Raw genomic sequence first — 20,558 nt, forward strand, 5'->3', positions numbered from 1 at the left:
GAGAGAAGATGTGAGCATCGTCCTCAGGGAAGAGTCAGTTTTTGTCAGAACAAGGAGGGACTATTTGGAAGTTAGTTTGGGATGTGAGGCGTTTTGCTATTAGTGGATCAGGCTGATGGCACCGTGGAGGGGTTTCAGGAGTCAAGAACAGGTGGGAGAAAGTTTCCCAGTGCAGGTTGTGCAAGCCTCCTGGCCCGGAGAGTGTGGGTGTGACGAGTGGCTTGAGAGACAGGGATGAAGAGCATGAATGCGAATGTACAGCACTGAGCTCGCGTCTGCCACATGGTAAGCTCTTAGAAGACCTCAGCTTCTTATTCATTTTGTCACAAATCGATTAATTACTGAGCTGAAGGACATATTAGAAAACGGTCAATAGCAATACTTCTAACTTCCAATCTGTACTTACGCTTGGCATTCAATCGATGTTATCAAAACCTGTGCCAGCTCCAAGGAAGAGAGAACACTGTTTTCTGATTTAGTTGCTTCCTGAAAGGAGCTGAGAGCTGTAAAACACAGGCAAGATTGGACTTTTCAATAATGCTTATATATTGACTTGCAGAAACAATATTAGAACTTTTTTAAAATGCACACATTATCTCCTTAGGGTAAGGGAAAAGGTTTTACCTTTTTATTTTTGCATCTCCCCTTTGAGTGAACATCATTCTTTTTTCTTTAACTCACAACTTTACAAGGTATTTGGAGAAATATAAGGGAGAGATAGTTTCTGTTTCTCACCTCTTTAAGCAATGTCCTCTTGTATACCAAATAATATCTTCCTGTGGTTAATGATATGAGAAACAGAATGCCTCTCCAGAAACCTTTTCACATCCCAGATTCAGAGTTCCTGAGGCCAGAATCTGATCTGACATATTTTACTACTTAGGTAAATCCTTAATCTCAAGAGTGATGAGAGTGAAGTCTTTTTATGTTTGTTTTTTAGAGATGGGCCTCTTTCTGTCGCCCAGGCTGGAGTGCAATGGTGTGATCATAGCTCACTGCAGCCTCAACCTCCTGAGCTCAAATAGTCCTCCTGCCTCAGCTTCCTGAGTTGCGACTACAGCCATGAACCACTGCATCCAGTTCAGGTTTTTTGTTTGTTTGTTGTTTTCCTTAAAAAACACTAGTGATTCTATTTTGATTCTGACAACTTTCATAAGGTCCAGGGACAAAATAAATGTGTTATCTCTTGGGAGGAGATGGATTTATAAGCCCATGGGCACCATTCAGAGGCCATATGCCCTGGAAGCACTGAGGAATGTGCTCAAAGCAAACCCTTGGGTCATCCTTGACTCTTCTTTTGCTCTCACATCCACATCCAATCTATGAGGAAATTAACTTAGCTCAGGTAGTTTAAAAATCCATCTGAATGTTGCGGCCAGGCATGGTGGCTCATGCCTGGAGTCCCAACTACTCAGGAGGTTGAGGCGGGAGGATTGCTTGAGCGCAGGAGCTCGAGGCTGCAGTGAGCTATGATCATGCCACTGCACTCCAGCCTGGGCAACAGAGCAAGGCTCAGGCTGGTCTTGAACTCCTGGCCTTTAGTGATCCTCTTGCCTTGTCCTCCCAAAGTGTTGGGATTACAGGCACGGGCCACTGAGCCCTGCCTAAAACGTTCAATGTCAGTGACTTGGAAGAATGTTCTGGTGGACGGGAAAGCCCCGGATGGAGAGAGGATTCAGGCATTTGAGAGGTCAGAGAGAAGCAAGGTATCCAAGGACAATGGAATTGGCTGCTTGTTGCTCAATTGAATTGAGGCTCTACATTAGGATAATGAAAAGCTGTAGGCAGTTAGGGAGCAATTGAAAGCCACTTGTGAAGGCCTGAGGGCCTCCAGGAATGGGGCCCATATTCACTCCATTCAGTGTAGAAAAAGCAGAAGACCAAACTATGGATTTAATAGGCTTGCCTAGCTTCAAAGATGATTATCATTACACAAAGATCAGAGCACTGGTTGGGAAAACATGGAGCTCTTGTGCACGGGATGGGGACATTTGGGTGGATGCCTCCAAATATTTTGAGCTCTCAAACTCTTCTAAGCCCTCAGAGCCTGCAGAGGTGGCTCATCCTTCCCTGTTATGATCTGAAACTACCCATATGGGCCAACACCACAGAGTTCTGTCCCCACGGGCCAAGGAGGGCTTCTCAGGATCCTCAACTTCTTGCCTGGTTGCCAGACCAATCACTAGAGGTAAGTCGCAACATCACCAAGCCAAGAATATTATGGCAACACTGATGAGCTAGAAAGAGACTGTACCTCCCTCAAACTGTGAAAAATTCACCCCCATGTACTAGAAGGAAGGAACTGGATTTTGAAGGCGCTTGATCAAGGAGGCAGGATAAAGGAGAATACAGGAATGTGAGGGCATTTTCTCAGGATATGGGACTTAATGCTTGGCAAAGACCCTAGAGGATGGTGCAGACTTGCTGCTTGGGTGGTTCAACAAGCCTGGAGATAGGTCCATGCTGAGCGGAGCTGAAACAGATTTTTAAAGGCTCAGGGAAGTGAACATGCTGGTATATTATGGCGATCAGAAGACCCATCAGAGGATTATTATGCCCAGGGAGGTCTGGAGAACACAGCATTCACCAAGCCATTGGGAAATTAGCTGAAGGCTTTCCTCTGCAGACCACAACTGGTGGTGTGAAAGGCTGTTGTGGAGTTGAATCCACAGAGAGTAGTGATGATGGGGTGAAACAGATGGGAATCTTGTGAGGATACTTCTCAATACATCTAATCAAAAGATAGCCAACACAGGCCAGGCGCAGTGGCTCCCACCTGTAATCCCAGCACTTTGGGAGGCCGAGGTGGGTGGATCACTTGAGGTCAGGAATTCAAGACTAGCCTGGCCAACATGGTGAAACCCTGTCTCTACTAAAAATACAAAAATCAGCTGGATGCGATGGTGTGCACCTGTGGTCCCAGCTACTTGGAGGCTGAGGCAGGAGAATCACTTGAACCCAGAAGGTAGAGGTTGCAGTGAGCTGAAGTTGTGCCACTTCACTCCAGCCTGGGAAACAGAGTGAGACCTTGTATTAAAAAAAAAAAAAATCCAACAAGGATGCCCAGGAGGCTGAGGGTGTTTGCTCTATCAAACATTTGCAATTCCTTGTCTAGTACCTGGAACCTGAGGCAGTTTTCAGACCTGGAATCCCCCAATAGAAAGGGTGGCCATGTTCCCAGGATGAAGGACCCAGCAACACCACACCAAGTCTATGGGTATAATTCCTTTTGTCCTTCCCCAAAAGACATTTATTCAAGTGACTCTACTCTGGGGAAAAACTCCCAGATGTTTTGAAGATTACTGGATGCCCTGCAGGGATGGATGGAGGTAGGCATTGAGGTGTGCAATGATTCAGATCTTCACTGGAGAAAGGACTTACCTGGCAGCTTCAAGGAGTGTAGCCAGCCGACAGCTTCCAGCTGCAGCACCTGGAGGATCTGCTTCAGCTTTTCAACCAAGACCACACTTTTTCTGGGCAGCTCCCAGCCAATACCGGCACCATGGTGGTACCAAGGCCGTGTCTGTCCAACACAGGAATCCTCTTTGCTCCAGAGCTTCCCATCATGTTGGTCAAATCCGTGTCTGACCCACCAAAATCTGAGGCTCTCTCTTGTCTATCTTGTTTTCTACCCTTTTTCCTTTTGTAAGTGTCAAATCTGCATCGTGATCTGAAGGCTTTCCATGCTTGGGCAATCTTGATATTTCCTCTTACGCTTTTTACAAATATTACCCCCCACCCCAAATCTCTTGCACTTCTAAATCAACCTCATTGTCTGCTTTCCTTAGGATGCAACTGACATGATGCTCTGGTCTGCTGGGTTGTAGTCTGTTTAGCCACAGATAAGGCAGTCGGGTGCGGTCAATGGCTTTGCAGAGGCTTGCTAACACATGGAAATGTTTATGCACATTTAAAAAGTTGATTCACAAAGTAGTACCAGATTTTCTCATTACAGTATTTTAATGCAGGGGCTCTTACAGTTAAAATATTCTGGAAGTTAAGTAGGAAAACTACATTGAAGATAAATCTAAGTTAATTACAGATGCAAAATTTTTGTTTTAAATGTAAGCATCTACCCTACCTCCTTCAACCAGAGTTAGGCTGGGGTTCTGTGAATTGCACACAGACGTTTCTTGCTTGTTATGGAATTTGCTTTTTGTATTTCGGAAGCAACTACATTCTGGGCAACAAAACCAAACTGGTCTCACATTTAGATTAAGCACCTTCTATGGCTGAGCCACTTCCTCTTGAATATTTGATAGTCACCCAAAATTAAGGACAGTGGTGGATACATTCTTCGCCTTCTGTTTCAACACTCTCTTGCCTTTCTTATTACCTAGTGCTATTTGTGGCACCGCAATCATATATGTTTACTAGGTTTAGACAACAACAACATCTTGGCTGCCACTTAAAAAAAAATATTTGAGATCCTTGACAACAGCTCAATTCCTTGGACTTAGGAAGAGGTCACACGGCTTCTCACAATGGCTGAGACAAGGGTGGGAGTGGGAAGGTCTTTCCGTTTCTTCATCCAGGCACTTAGTAAATAAAACCAGTTCCTCAAAATAGCTTTTATACAAAGAACATAATCTTTTACCTAAGATTCTTTATTTGGTTTTCCATCATCCAGTCTTTTCCTTTTTTCTCTTTTAAAGCTCGAAGCCCATGGACTTTGAGATTTGTTGCATCTTTATCCACAAATCTCCTCCCTTTAATAACCAGTCTTCTCAGAACTTAAATTCCATCAAAGCCAACACCTTCAATACACGCGGCCCATTTTTCTTCTTCGGATGCTGACTAGACCGTTTTCCAGTCATTCTCATTTTATCAATATCTCCTTCAATCTTGAGATTCCTTCTTAACCATTTCCTTCTAAAGGTCTATTCTAACTGCCTCCAAATGATTTCTTCTTCTTCGTCATTATCTTAATGCTTCCTTAGCCATGAGCTTGTTTGTACAAATGTAAAGATAAATGGTGACTGGCAGAATGCCTGTGCTTGAAAGATACAAACGGGCATATTTGCCAATTTCTTCTCTCTTATAGAACTGTGGTCAAACTACTCCGCCTTCATTACAATCACAAATGTGTGAGACTGAAGGAGAGGCCGAACATGCCTGTAATCTTGGCATTTTGGGAGGCTGAGGTGGGAGGATCCCTTGAGCCCAGGAGTTTGAGACCAGCCTGGGCAACATGGCGAAACCCTGTCTCTACAAAAAATACTGAAAATTAGCCTGGCATGGTGGTGCATGCCTGTGGTCCCAGCTACTCAGGAGGCTGAAGTGGGAGGATCACCTGAGCCCAGGAGGTGGAGGCTTCAGTGAGCCCTGATTGCATCGCTGCACCCCAGCCTGGGTGACAGTGAAACCTCGTCTCAAAAAAAAAAAAGAATAAAGGAGAATATTCAAAATCACCATCTGAAATTTGAGGATTGAGGGACTAATTTGGCTACTTTGTAATTGTTTTATTATTATTATTATTTTTTGGGATGGAGTCTCTTTCTGTCCTCCAGGCTGGAGTGCAGTGGTGCGATCTTGGTTCACTGCAACCTCCGCTTCCCGGGTTCAAACGATTCTCCTGCGTCAGCTTCCTGAGTAGCTGGGACTACAGGTGCACGACACCACACCTGGCTAATTTTTTGTATTTTTAGTAGAGACGGGGTTTCACTGTTAGCCCGGATGGTCTTGATCTCTTGACCTCGTGATCCGTCTACCTTGGCCTCCCAAAGTGCTGGGATTATAGGTGTGAGCCACCGCGCCCCACCTGTGATTTTTATATAGTTGTTTGCTGTCAGAGCTAAGGATTTTACTGGAGTTAACAAATAACTATGCTATAAGTAACAAAAATGCTGAGCCAAAGACGTGCTAATACTTTTCCTGGTATTAGCTGGTTTCCCCTTGAGTTAGAACATACCTATGAGAACACACAGAAGGAAATCTCTCAAAATGTAATTGACATCAAGCTATTTATGTGTACCTGTTTGCTTATCATCCATTGAGCCAGACATCTGACATCTTTGTTGCCTTTTTGTTTCTAGGTCTTGGTACTGTTGACATTTGATAAATGTTTATTTCTTGATTTTAATTCTTAGCTTTTGTTTCATTTAATACTTTAGTTCTTCACACCAGAATTGTCTGGAAGGCAACTGGAAGTTTAACAGAGATAAAGGAAATCGAGATCACAGTATATTCCTCATAGTTCTAACATCTGCATTTCAGGAACAGAAGACAAACGTTTTAAATGTTTTGCCAACTGCAATTAAACAAAATGATCAACTCCTTATCATGAGACAGTTCAGGGATGTATGTCTGCAATTCACACATTTCATTTCCTAGCTTGTTCTTCTTTCAATAAAGAGGTCACAATGGGAGTGACTTTTAGTCTAAGTAATAAACGGTTTACCTTTGCCTTTGTGTCTCTTGTAATAATTGTTGCATTGGGTAAGGATTAAATGTGATATGTGCGTTGTGATCTGCTTCAGAACAGGAGAGGAAATGTGTTGGTCTTCCCCAGGATCACCTCTGTGAGCCACTTAAAACTCTAGTAGACAGAGCACTGGAGAGTGTCCCCCAGAGAATTGTTTTAACTGGCGATCTGCCTGCCCACCATCTACCCCTAAATCCTAATGAGACTAAATAGTCTTTTGTTTTTATACGTGTGTAGAAGCTATTCCAAAGCTTTTTAGATTTCATTGACTAGTAAATTTCCAAAAGATATTTTTGAAGCCTTGCTTAAAGTTTTTAATATTTTTATTTTCTCAGGTAAAAATAGTTTTTTAAAAGAGATTGTCAAACAGATTTTTTTTTCCCAGAAATATTTACTGTAGCAGATATTCCTCTCTCCTCCCTTTTTGGCAAAACTTTAATTTCATGTGGGAGTTTATCCCTTTCCCATATGAGTTAAAGTTAAATCTTGACAAGTCGAAGCCTCTAAGTCAATATCCTTGACAGTGATTGGCTTAAGGGGAGGCATGAGATCCTTTTCTGGACTACTATGTACATGGGAAGATCTGTTAGGGGTTTATGCTGGTCTGTTTCCATTTGTCCCGCTCCATCCAGAACTCATCTGTCTTTTTCTGCTTTTCTCTGTGCCCCAGGAGGTTGACCTCTAAAGATTGCACTGTGAAGTCTTCCTTGTCCTCTGGCATTCCACTGGATTTGGCTAATGGAGGCATTGCTAGGAGGGCAGAGTATTCATAATTCGACCTCAGACTCCCTTCCTTCTGGCTGCGATCCAGACAGTAGCCACATTCCTCTAAGGCACAGCTCCCGTGTCGGGCAAGCTTTCTTCCTCAGCTACAGCTCTCTTTATGAAGGGTGGAAACTTCCTTTCTCCTTTCTCCTTCAGGACCAGAAGCAGGGTGGACTTCCTGCTATAATCCTTGGCACTTCACCTTTTCTCCTTGGTTCTCTTAACTTTGCTCGCTTGCAGTCTTTAAACAGCCCCTCCATTAAATTCACTTCTATTAAATTCTCTAAGAGTGCAAGCTCTTCCCTGCTCAAACCTTGACTGATATAGGGGGCTTCGAGGAATGGTTCTTGAAAAGACTCACAGAGGAGGAAGACACAGTCTCTCTTGTACTGGAGGTCATTGTGTCAGCAGGTGACCCTGGGACCTTGGAGGCAGCCATTTTGAACAATGAAGGGATCCAGATGAGAGAGACCAACATGTTGTGGCTAGCAGAGTCAAAAAATGGAAGGGGAGTGTGTCCTTGAGGCCACTGTGCCTTTGAATGAATCAATTTTGGAGGTGCCCTGAAAGGGGACAGTGTGCTCTATGATCTAGTACACATTCCTGATGCTTTATGTCACTTTGAGCAACAGTCTTGTGTTCTGTGAAGCTGAACAATTTCTCTCTCACCTTTTTGAGATGGGGTCTTGCTCTGCACCCAGGCTGGAGTGCAGTGGGGTGATCAAAGCTCACTGCAGCCTCAAACTCCTGGGCTCAAGTGATTTTCCTACCTCAACTTCCCCAGTAGTTGGGACTATAGGCATGTACTGCCACACCCAGCTAATATAAAAAAAGTTTTAGGAAGAGGGATCTCGCTATGTTGCCCAGGCTGGTCTCAAATTCATGGTCTCAAGCAGTCCTCCTGCTTCTGCCTCCCAAAATATTGGAATCGCAGGCGTGAGCAACCATGGCCATCGGAAAGTTTCCTTGAGTCTGATAAAGCAAACCCACAGGGTGCAATAACAAAACAATGGGATAGGTGTGGGGGAAATGTACTTAAATAGAGTGAACAGAGATACATCTAAAGTGACTTGAACGATGAGAAGTTCAATGAGAGATGAGCAGGTGGGAAAACAAACTATCACTACCACTTCAGAAAGAAAAGGGACATTTAAACTCCAAATATGCAGACAGAACATAAACTGAGAATAAATGGAAGGGCTGGAAAGTTAAATGGAATATTAAGGACATTACTTTTATTTTTTCTCAATGTTTGGTAAGCAATGGTGTGTGGGTGTGTATGTGTGTGTGTAGTGTCTTTTTCCATGGTTTATGGCTTAAAATAAATTTTTTGGTAGAAATTATACAAAGCACTCATTGCTGCATGCATATGTAACAGGGTGGCATTTAACCCAGTTTAGGCAATGGGGCAAAGTCAGTGAAGGTTGGTGCCAGGATCCTGTACCTGTAAGACTGAAGTGGTTTTCAGGGCCCCCGCTCCACTCCCACACGCTTCACCAGTTCCTGGTCTTGTCTCTGCCTCACCCCGTTCTGGGTTGCTCTGCTCTGGTCTTGGTCATGGGCCCTGGCCTCCCTTCCGCCCTGGCCCTCCAGGCTGGCTTGCCGTGTGCTCTCCAACATGTGGTCCTGGGCTTGGGTTCCCCGTCTCCTTCCTCCTTATCCTTCTACCTGGCATTGCACCTCTGTGATTCTCTAGAATAAATTCTCTATCCTTGAACTGCTATGGTGGTGATTTTGGTCTTCGTAAGCCATTCCCCTTAAAAAAATAACTTTTTTTTAAAAAAACAATTTTCTCTAATATATTTTAGGATACTTTTAATTTAAAAAACCCCTGTGTGGCATTCTTTTCTCATGGGCTGTAAATGCTGAGTGTGTTTCATGCTTGCCCCCTCTCTGTGCTCCTTGTCTTACTCTGGCCCCTTATTCTAGACCCTCCTCCAGCTTATGGCCCTCCTTTGCTTCTTCATCTCTTTTTTTAAGACAGGGTCTTGCTCTATCACCTGAGCTGGAGTGCAGTGGTGCAATCATAGCTCACTGCAGCCTTGAACTCCTAGGCTCAGGTGATCCTCCCACCTCAGCCTCCTGACTAGCTGGGACCACAGACACGCACTACCATGCCAGGCTAATTTTTAAATTTTTGCTAGAGATGAGGTTTCACTACGTTGGCCAGGCAGGTCTGCAACTCTTGGCCTCAAATGATCCTTCCAACTCAGCCTCCCAAAGTGTGCTGAGATGACAGGTGTCAGCCACCGCACCTGGCCCACTCACCTCTTTGAATCGCTATCTTCTCAATTCTGAATCCTTCTAAATTTTCCTCACCAACACTAGATTGAGAAGTGGGAAGAAGAAACAAGAAAATAGGAGGAGAAAGAGAGGCCCAAAACTATTACTTTCTAATACAAGCAGAAGAGAATCAAGGTGAAAGAAAAGATCTTTTGAGGCCTGGAGTTGAGTGAGCCCATGAGCCAAACCTTAGAGGGAAGGCGGGAGGCAGGGCTTGTGATTTCTTCTTGGGTGACCTATTTGCTTAAATGATGCTGGAATTGTAGGCCATAGATGCAAATTACAGAATCATTCCCTGACTTGCCCACTAGGTTGGGCAAGTTGGGGAAAATAATCAATTTATCCCTTGAAAATTAATTCTTTCTGTTGGACGATAGCGAAAGGGCCTAAGAAGATCCTGAATAAATGCTTTCTGATGATGTGGGTGCAACCAGAAGCCACTGCACTGATGTTTTGAGGCCTTTCCAGTGGTAGAGTTCAAGAGTTCTTAATTAGGAACACATGTTCTGAGAGTCCACACAGTCACTTCTTGTCACCCTAAAGGAAGACATTAAAGGGTATGGCTCTAGAATGAAGAATGGCCTGGTGCAGTGGTTTATGCCTGTAATTCCAGCACTTTGGGAGGCTGAGGCGGGAGGATCACTTGAGTCCAGGAATTCGAGACCAGTCTGCGCAACAAAATGAGAAAAATGAGACCCCTGTCTTTACAAAAAATAAAACAATTAGCCAGATACGATGGCGCATGCCTGTAGTCCCAGCTACATGGGAGGCTGAGGCAGGAGGATGGTTTGAGCCCAGGAGGTTGAGGCTGCAGTGAGCAGTGTTTGTGCCACTGCACTCTAAGCTGGGCAGCAGAGCAAGACCTTCTCTCAAAAACATAAAAATAATAAAGGAAGAAACTTGCTCCTTGTGATATATGGGGCAAGATGTTTTGACCCTTTCCTTTTTTCTTGGCTTTGGGACCTTAGGGGATTCACTTAGCCTCTCTGGGCTACCAGTGTTGTGATCTGTAACACTGAGATGATTAATTCTGTTCTGCTCACCTCTCAGGGTTGGAAAGGATCAAATGATACAGATGACAGCATGTTGTGACACATAGCCTTACACACTAGTGCAAGGTATCACTGAGGTTTTACTATGATGTGTGACCCAGTTGCACGGTCACCAGGCACTGTGAGTGCTACTGGCCAGCTCCCTGCTGCAGAGGAAGGCCAGAGCAAGCTGCAGTCCTACCCCTGGGTAGCTTCACTTGGCTGGAAAAAAAAATCACTTACCCAAGGTTGTGTGCCTAGACTGTGCTGAGAAGCTGGGGGAAACAGAGAGACGTCTCAACCAGGGCATTTACAAACCAGTGCCTGGGAGTACCATCAGACTTACCAAAGGACCCTCAGGTTAATATATTTGATAACATAGCTACCCAGCAGTTCAAAATGAAGTCATGTTTGTTTAAGAAAATTATAAATAAATGTGTTTTTGATTCAAGTTCATCTTTTTGGCCCCTTCTTCTAAGTATTTCTTAAATCTGCCCACTTCTCTCCATCACCACACCTTTATTCCAGGCCTGCCTCACCTCCCATGTCCATTAAACTCTCAGCCTCCCACTTGGTCTCTTTTGTTCCAGTCTCTTTCCCCCAGCAACCTACTGTCCATGCCCACCCCGCATCTTCTCTGCCTCTAGTCAGATCCTGTCACTTCCCTGCTTAGCATCTTCCAGTATTTCCCCATTCCTCCTCCTTCTCTACGGAACTCAGTTTTCCAGCCTCCCCTAGGCTGGACTAGGTTGCTCCTGTGTGCTCAGTGGGCATGCTCACCCACCTTCCCTCCTTGATCTCACTTGGTGGCCTCACATCACACTTCTTTGAAGAAGAACTCTGTCAGACTCCCACTAAATCTTCTCATCAAAACTGCTGACTTGAAGCTTGGACAAGAAGGGGGAAGAGGATATGGAAAAGAATTATCACATACCCCCACTAGACATCAACCATGTGTCTTTTTTTTCTCTTTGAGATGGAGTCTTGCTCTGTCACCTAGGCTGGAGTACAGTGGCACGATCTCGGCTGACTGCAACCTCCACCTGTCAGGTTCAAGTGATTCTCAATTCTCGTGCCTCAGCCTCCCAAGTAGCTGGGACTACAGACGCCCGCCACCACACCCATCTAATTTTTCTATTTTTAGTAGGGACAGGGTTTCGCTGTTTTGGCCAGGCTGGTCTCGAACTCCTGATCTCAAGTGATTCACCTACCTCGGCCTCCCAAAGTGATGGGATTACAGGTGTGAGCCACCGTGCCCGGCCCATCTCCTACTAAATCTATAATCATCTCCCTCCACTGTTCCCCTTTCTTCCCTCCAGGTACAATTGTAATGCATCCCTCCCCTGTCCAAGGCCAATTCCTATGCTCATGCCTTGCACACAATCCCTGCACCATCTCAGGGACTTCCTCCTTTTATTATCACCTCTATCTCTAACCTCATCAAGCTTCCCCTTTCTCCTGGATTATTCCCATCAGCATGCAAACATTCTGAATGTTTTTCCTTGATCCTTTAGAGGATGTCCAGCTATCATTCCATTTGTCTGCTTTTTATGCCTAAAATTCATGGAAGAGTCAGCTGGGCATGCCATCTCACCACCTCACCTCTTCTCCATGCCAGTCGGGCTCCCACTTCTGCTGCTTGATGGTGACTCCTGCTCCAGGTGAGCAGTGACCTCCTCCTTGCCACACTCAGGGCTCAGCTTTCTTCTTTTCTTTCTTTCTTTCTTTTTTTTTTTTTTTTTTGAGACAAAGTTTCACTCTGTTGCTGAGGCTGGAGTGCAGTGGTGCTATCTTGGCTCACTGCAAGCTGCACCTTCCGGGTTCAATGATCCTCCTGCCTCAGCCTGCCAAGTAGCTGGGATTACAGGCGTGTACCACCATGCCTGCTAATTTTTGTATTTTTAGTAAAGTTGGGGTTTGCCATTTTGGCCAGGCTGGTCTCGAACCCCTGACCTCAAGTCATCTGCCCGTCTTGGCCTTCCAAAGTGCTGGGATTACAGGCATGAGCCACTGTGCCCAGCCTCAGCTTTCTGCCTTCATCTTGCTCCTTGCTCAAGGGCAGTCACCACCTCCCCTGGGTTTCTTTGTCTTTCCCAGTTCCCTCGCTGGCTCTTCCTCCCCTCCTAACACAGCTGTATGACTGTGTTCCTGAGCCCTCCACTGCTCTTGCCACACTCTCTGTGGGTGGTCCCAACTTGACCCATGGCTTTAAATAGCATTTATTTGCTGGTGATTCCTGAATTTATAGCCTCAGCTTAGACCACTGTTCCTCTGAACTTCAGACTTGTGTATCCAACTGCCCACTCTCTACTCCCATGTAGCAATTTCACAAGCATCCCAAAGTTAGTATGTCCCAGAATGAACTCTTAATTCCTGCCACTTCAATCTATTTATCTCCTGTCTTCCCTGTCTCAATAAATCACACCTTCATCCACCTGTGGCTCCATTCAGAAACCTGGATGGCCTACGTGTCTTTTCCCTATACTTACCTTCATAGCCGATTTGTCAGAAATTCTGGACTATTCTACCTCTAAAACAACACATCTTGAATCCGTCCACCTATTACCTCTTCTTTCACTATAGTCCAAGCCACCACCAGTTTTTTCTTCTCCTTCTTCTTCTTCTTTTTTTTGGGGGGGGTGGGGGGCGGGGGTGGGGGGTGGGGGCATGGTTTTGCTCTGTTGTCCAGGCTGGAGTGCAGTGGTACAATCATAGCTCACCGTAGCCTCCACCTCCTGGGCTCAAGCAATCCTCCCACCTCAGCCTCCCAGGCAGCTAGGACTACAGGCCAGTTAACTACTATGGTCAGTTAATCTTTAATTTTTTTTTTTTGTAGAGACAAGGTCTTGCTATGTTGCCCAGGCTGGTCTCAAACTACTGTCCTTAAGTGATCTTCCTGCCTCGGCCACCCAAAATGCTGAGATTACAGGTGTCAGCCACCGTGCCCAGCTCACCGTAAGCTTCTTAAGTGGTTTACCTGGTTCCACTTGTGGAAGGCTTCAATTTCTTCCTACGCAGCATCCAGGGAAAGTGTGATGCCTGTATAAATCTTCCAGTGGCTCCCCATTGCCCAGCTCATATGGTCCTACTTGGTTTGGCCCCTGCCTTTCTATAAGCCCTCCTTCTCTCACCATGTCTCTGCTCCTCCTCTTTCCACAACCCGTGGCTGGCCCTCATATCTGTCTGTTTCACTGATTAATGCTCAGTCTCTGGTAACTGCCCCAGTGCAGAGACTGTGCAAATTAATATTTGTTTTGATTGTTGAATTTATTGCCACGTGTTAGATCCTAGAGTAACTAAGATGAACTAAAGAAAGCTTCCATCAAACAGGAGCTGTCAGTCAAGTAAGTGACACAAATGTGTACACAGAGAATATTTACAATTCATTTTGATGGGGTGAACACGAGGGGAAGCCAAGGAAAGGCTTCTCAGGGAAGGAACACTTGAATTGAGTTGATGAACCTCCCCGTAAATCTAAACCATCGCATAAAAACAATAACTTCAGGAAATAGAATGGAAAAATATGCTAAATTATTAATATTAGCATTCCTGGCTTTTAGCTTGGTGGAAGTTTTTTTTTTCTTCCCTATTTTGGTATTTCCAAATCTTCCAGCATGAATTATAAAAATAGTTAGCTTTTTTATGATAAAAAAGTAAAAAAAAAACCTGGAGGAAATAGTTCTTACACACACACACAAACGTGCACACACACACACACGATTAAAACAAATGAAAACAAACAAAAATCCCTGTTGAGCAATGCAAACACACATCACACTTTGATATTAATAAAACGAGACACACTCGGATATCTCATTGTGCATTTTCTCATATGTTTCTGGAAGTCAGCTGCAGGTACTGGAAATGAAGCTTCTTCTCAAAATAAATTTTCCGAAAACAACAAAAAAAGATTGAAGAAAAAAGTGAGAAAAAGGATGAGAAATGGTGAAATCTTTTTACTGAGTTTATGAGTTGAGTGGGTAGCAGGGAAAGGATGGGTTGGGAGGGAACGGGGAGGAAAGGAAATAGGAGTTTTTGGTGATGTTCCACTCATAAAAGTCAGTGGATATTTTTACAGGTACCAGCTAGTCCTTCCTGAAAATCCTCTAACGGCGACAGGCTGTGAAGCAGTAACAGGAAGATAAATGCTTTTCTGAAGAGTAATTTTAGTGCCGTGTGGAAAATGTGAAGGGGGAAAAAAATAAAGATCGAATGGAAAATCCATCCACGGGCCAACCCACACCACAGAAGTGTTGGGGACCTTGCGTGTCCTAATTAGCCCCTACACCAGGAGCAGCAGCCCCAGCAGAGGCCTCTCTCTGGGCAAATGCCCTCGTCCTTTGTGGGGGGCAGCCTGGGTAAAGAGCATTCATTTACTCCACATGCCCTGAATGTGGCTATCATTTTGAGGGTGCAGAAGAATTGGAAAGTATAAAAAGCTAAGACCACCAAGCAGTGACCTTTTCCCCTTATTCTACAATGCAAGTCTATTTTTCCATAATGGGTATTAGATGTTTCTGAATGGAGCCTTCCTAATGCAGGCAGTGTTGCAGGGAAGCTGCTTGCAAACTCTAACCTCTCTCCAACTCAGCTTTTTTTTCTACCCTAGTCAACCCTTTTGCAATCACGATGAAGTTCACGCAGATCTCACCAAGACTCATCTCTTCCTTTTGTTTTCTCTCCGTGCTGAGATGATCCTCATATAGTGCTCTTCGGAAGTTCAGAATTTTCCCATGCTCCTGTGGCAAGCTTTAGAGTTTCCAGTGCCGGAGCACCACCCAGCTGGCGGAAGCCAAAAACAAGATGGCGTCGTCATGAAATAAACCCTACTAGTGTGTGGGGGATTCATAGCTTTCTCCCCTCTTCTTTACTCGTACAGCTTCTCTTCCAAGTCAGAGAATTTGAGATGAAGAAAATTCTGAGGATTTCCTGAGAGCTTTGTACTGAGACATCTTTAAATATCTAAGAGAAACATGGGCAACTGTAATTTCCTTCCTAGGACCACCTCACTAGATGATACCGTTCTGTTTTAACAAGGGTAGCCAATGGTTGAAAATAAGAGTCATACCCCATGTTCAGAGCATAGCCATTTTATGTTTTGAGGTACAATTAACCCTTGAACAACTTGAAGGTTAGGGCAGTATGCATACTCCTCCATACTCCAAATTCTGTGTATAACTTTTGCCTTCCCAAAAACTTAACGACTCATAGTCCACTATTGACGGGAAACCTTATCCATAAGATAAACCGTTGATTAACATGTATTTTGTATGTTCTATGTATTTTGTACTGTATTCTTACAATAAAGTAAGCTAGAGAAAAGGAAATGTTATTAAGCAAATCATAAGAGAAAATGTATTTGTTATTCATTAAGTGGGAGTGGATCGTCATAAAGGTTTTCATTCTAGTTTTCTCTGTGTTGAGTAGGCTGGGGAGGAGGAGAGAGAGGAGAGGTTGGTTTTGCTGTCTCGGGTGTGGCAGGGGTGGAAGAAAATCCACATATAAGTGGAAACTTGCAATTCAAGGGTCAACCGTATATTTTTTTTCCAGTCAAAGGGACTTTCTACTCCCACACAGGCAGTCATTGAGTTCTAATGGTTGACTTTTAAAACACAAAAACTATAGGATCTACAGGAATAATTTCACATTTAATTGAAAACGGGAGACAATCCCAAAGGACTTAGCATAAAGGAGATGGTTCCTGGTCCAGTCTTAAGCCACCTGCTGTAATATGTCCAAAGTCCCTTTTTGGTCCTATAGTCCAGGCAATAACTCGGAATGTTTACTTCTCTTGTCTTTAATCCTTAGCCTAAGGGTTTGTCTGTTTCTGAGTTTTAATTGTTGTCTTTTGAGGAGTTTCATTCAGGTCTGGTTAGATGTAGATTTAAGTTGGAATCTGATTTGAAGGAGTTTACTTTATTCCTTGGGCTATAATTGAAAATGGTAGCTGGGACCAAGGGGCTGCTGACAAGATTGCTAGTTTGGCCTTTTGTGACCAAGAACCTGACTTGATGAAGCAGTGATGTGGGATTATTGCGTTTGAAATGATGAACTCACATAAGCTTTGGTACAGAAGTCGTCAAGAGCCTCAGGAGCACCAGGATCCAGCCTCGCCCAGCTGACTTAGGGAGAGCAGTGGTTCCAGTTTGCTGGGGACTATTCTGGGTTTAAAAGAGAAAGTCTCAAGCTCTGGAAAACCCCTTAGTTCTGGGCAAACAGGAGAGTTGGTCACCTGGAATTTAAGTCTGAATGAATCAAAACCAAAAAGCAACTAGGGAAACACTGATGATATCAGGTTTGAGTTTTCTTCCCGTGCGGACTGAACCCTGTTCACAATCATTTTACTAATTAGGGTGGAGAAGAATGAGAGAAAGGGAGGACAGGTGGAATATATATACACATATATATAGTTTTCGAGACAGGGTCTCACTCTGTCGCCCAGGCTGGAGTGTGGGGGTGAGATCATGGCTCACTGCAACCTCCACCTCCTGAGCTCAAGTGATCCTCCTGCCTCAGCTTCCAGGGTATCTGGGACTACAGGTATATGCCACCATGCTTGGCTAATTTTTTGTATTTTTTGTATTTTTGGTAGAGACCAGATTTTGCCATGTTGCCCACACTGGTCTCGAACTCCTGGAGTCGGTGATCTGCCCACTTTGGCCTCCCAAAGTGTTGGGATTATAGATGTGAACCTCCATGCCAGGCTTACATACATACATATATATATGTGTGTGTGTATATGTGTATATGTGTGCATATATGTATATGTGTTTGTATGTGTGTGTGTATATGTGTTTATGTGTGCGTATATGTATATGTGTTTGCGTGTGTATATGTGTATGTGTGCGTATATGTATATGTGTGTGTATATGTATGTATGTGTGTGTGTGTATGTGTGCATATATGTATATGTGTGTTTTGTGTGTGTATATGTGTGCGTATATGTATGTGTGTGTGTGTGTGGGTGTATATACTTGCAATGAGACTGTGTTTTCAAGGCAGCTTGTCTTCAGTAGTGGCCAAGGTTAGAGAATGGACCAACCTGTGATACCAACGGAGGTTGAGCCTAAGCTAAGGAAAGCAATTTGGGATGAAGAATGAGTCTTTCCTTCATTCCGTCTTTCCTTTCTTCCTTCCTCCTTCCTTTTTGTTTTTTAATTTATATATGCTGTGTAGACAGCAAGGCTGAAACTATCAGAATGTGGGAGAATCTCCTTCTCCAGAGGCAGCCACCCTCTGTGCTCCAGTACTTGATGTGAGTGTTCATCATGGGTCTATCGCTCCAGAAGACCAAGGTTGATTCGGGGGCTGTGGTCAGCCTTCGTGATGGAACTTGGCCTTTTGGCCACTTCATTGTGTTTGTGAATCTATCCTGGATAGTGACCAACTCTCATGGTTTGTCCAGAGCTAAGGGGTCTTCAAAGGCTTGAGAGTTGCAGGTTTGGGCTGTAATATTAATATTATTTATACCTCTTTCTCATCTACAGGGGTTAAATTGAATCCAAATAGTGTGCTGTTTACCTCTATTTCTCTCCATCTTTACCCAATCAAAAGTGAGAGCATTATTCACTAAACTGTGATATATATATATATATATATATATATATATATATATATATATTCAGTCTGGCTCTGTTGCCCAGGCTGGAGTGTAATGGTGTGATCTCGGCTCACTGCAACCTCCACCTCTCAGGTTCAAGTGATTCTCATGCCTCAGTCTCCCAAGCAGCTGGGACTACAGGCATGTGCCACCACGCTCAGCTAATTTTTGTATTTTTAGGGAGAGATGGGGTTTTGCCATGTTGCCCAGACTGGTCTCAAACTCCTGGCCTCAAGTGATCTGTCCACCTTAGCCTCCCAAAGTGCTGAGATTACAGGTGTGAGCCACTGTGCCTGGCCCCACTGTGAATAATATAAAACCCAGATATGCCAGGGTTTCTAAAAAGGGAGATTCTTCCTGTGGGCAAAAATGGCAGGACTTGTAGTCTTGCTTATTGAGTCTTTGCCACCATTGTGTTCAGGCTAAACACTTAAACTTGAGTTCAACAAATGGAAAGGGACAATTGCAAGGATATAATTCTAAAGAGGAACATGATGTTAAATAATCTGGCTTATAAAATCATATCACTGCATTTTCCAATTACTGTCTCTTCTTGGTCACCTTCCCACATGGCTTTACCCCTGTGTTCACAGGACAGTGGGCATGTTTGATCCTACCTCCTGGGAGGGCCTCAAGAGAAGCAAAAGACAGAAGCCCATAAAGACAGAGGTATTCCTTCTCATTCCCTTTTTTTTTTTTTTAAGACAGGGTCTCACTCTGTTGCCCAGACCAGAGTATAGTGGTGCCGTCACTGCTTACTGCAGCCTCAAACACCCAGGCTCAAGCAATCCTCCCACCTTGATCTCTCAAAGTAGTTGGACCACAGGCATGCATCATGATGCCTGGCTTATTTTTAAATTTGTTGTAGAGATGGGAGTCTCACTATATTGCCCAGGCTGGTCTTGAAATCCTGACCTCAAGTGATCCTCCCACCTGGGCCTCCCAAAGTGTTGGGATTACAGGTGTGAGCCACCTCACCATGCCCCCTCTCATTCCTATCTCGGGACATCTTCAGGGTTCCATTTTGCTTCTAAGATCCTTCCTCCTCTCCGATGCTGGGATGTCCACTCCCTGCAGGGAGGGGCTAACTCCCACCCTGAACTTCGACCACTCTTATTCCAAGTCCTCAGTAGGGCCAGCATCACACTCTAGCAGAGCAAGCCCGATGGCCACACAAAAGGCAGACACCCCCATCAGAGGACAGGGGCATTGTGTTGTCATACGACACTTTCCTATTTTCCAGAGTATGGCATGCAGATTTTTTAAATAGAAATCAGGGAATGGAGAAATTACATAGCTGTGCGTATGTGACTGTATCTTACCTGGACATCAGTTTGCCCTTTGCTTGTGGTAAAATGATATAGACGATATCGTCTTGAGGGGTCATGGAGATTTTTCAGACTCTTTGAGCAGATCTTTGAGATCTTCCTTGGTGAAACCATTTCTTAGTGGATTAGTATCCTTATAAATTATGAAAACATGGCACCTAACGATGAACGATGACCTCAACACAAATAAAATGATGAGAGCCAGGCTGCTGTGGACCTCAGAGGTTCTAGGGAGGTCTGTTCTCATGACTGCATGCATTTGAGTTGATCTAAAGATAAGAAAAATACACTTCAAAATATTAGGCTGCGGTTGCTTCACTGATCAAAAGGAGGCGGGAGTTGTTTTGAAGGTTTCGTCTGGTTTCTACCATGGTGGCATTGCAGGTCCACTTAGACCAGTTGTTTTGCATCCTCAGTCAACATATCCAGAAACTGAAAGGGTCTGATGCCTGAAAAGAGAATAACAAAGCCCTCCAAGCTGGAGTAAATCTGACAACAAAACAGATTGCAGCAATAATAAGAAAAAAAAATTCATTAAGCCAGACATGTTTGAAATATAGGGACTCCCTGTGGAACCACAGTGAAGACAGATTAAACACAAAAGCATTCAGTGTCTCCATTGTAAAATCAAAGCTCCAGTTTATGGGGCCACTTTGAACATAGTTGAAGTAATAGGTTCATTATTCTGCCTAATTCCCACTTTTCACTGTGAAACAATGTTAAATGTTAGAATTTTTTGGAGGTATGAATTAACAAATACTGAGTTTCCGTGAAATGTTTAGGGACATGTTTTATTTTCCCCATTAAAAATGTCAGCTATTTCTTTAATGTGGTTAATCTCCAATGTTTTCCCAAAGAAGCAACTGATGATTAGACAGCAAAGTCAAACAGTTAATTTTAAGAATATGTGCTATGACCCAGAATTGGTGTGTAATGTTAGCTACAGATATAGAATCTGAAAGTGGGAACTGCCATGGAAGCCGACAGGAAGAAGGTGGCACTTGGGCTAAAAGTGATCCAAAAATGAGTGTCATTGAAATTTTCACTACACCTTAAAATAATGTGATTTTTGAAAGATTATTTAAAAATTTAATGAAAACCTTAGTTTACACAAAAATTTGACAAGT

At 43.9% G+C, this 20,558-nt stretch overlaps 1 long non-coding RNA gene across 1 annotated transcript in view; it reads left to right on the top strand.

The window, feature by feature from the left end:
- The first annotated feature begins 229 nt into the window (after positions 1-229).
- Positions 230-20,558, top strand: part of C10orf126 (chromosome 10 open reading frame 126) — a 35,491-nt gene continuing 15,162 nt past the window's right edge. The window contains exons 1-3 of the long non-coding RNA NR_164114.1: positions 230-285; positions 941-1,085; positions 2,038-2,188. This is a non-coding gene — a long non-coding RNA (chromosome 10 open reading frame 126). The remainder of the gene's footprint in view (positions 286-940; positions 1,086-2,037; positions 2,189-20,558) is intronic.

Source organism: Homo sapiens, chromosome 10, assembly GCF_000001405.40.
Source record: "Homo sapiens chromosome 10, GRCh38.p14 Primary Assembly".
Classification (NCBI taxonomy): domain Eukaryota; kingdom Metazoa; phylum Chordata; class Mammalia; order Primates; family Hominidae; genus Homo; species Homo sapiens.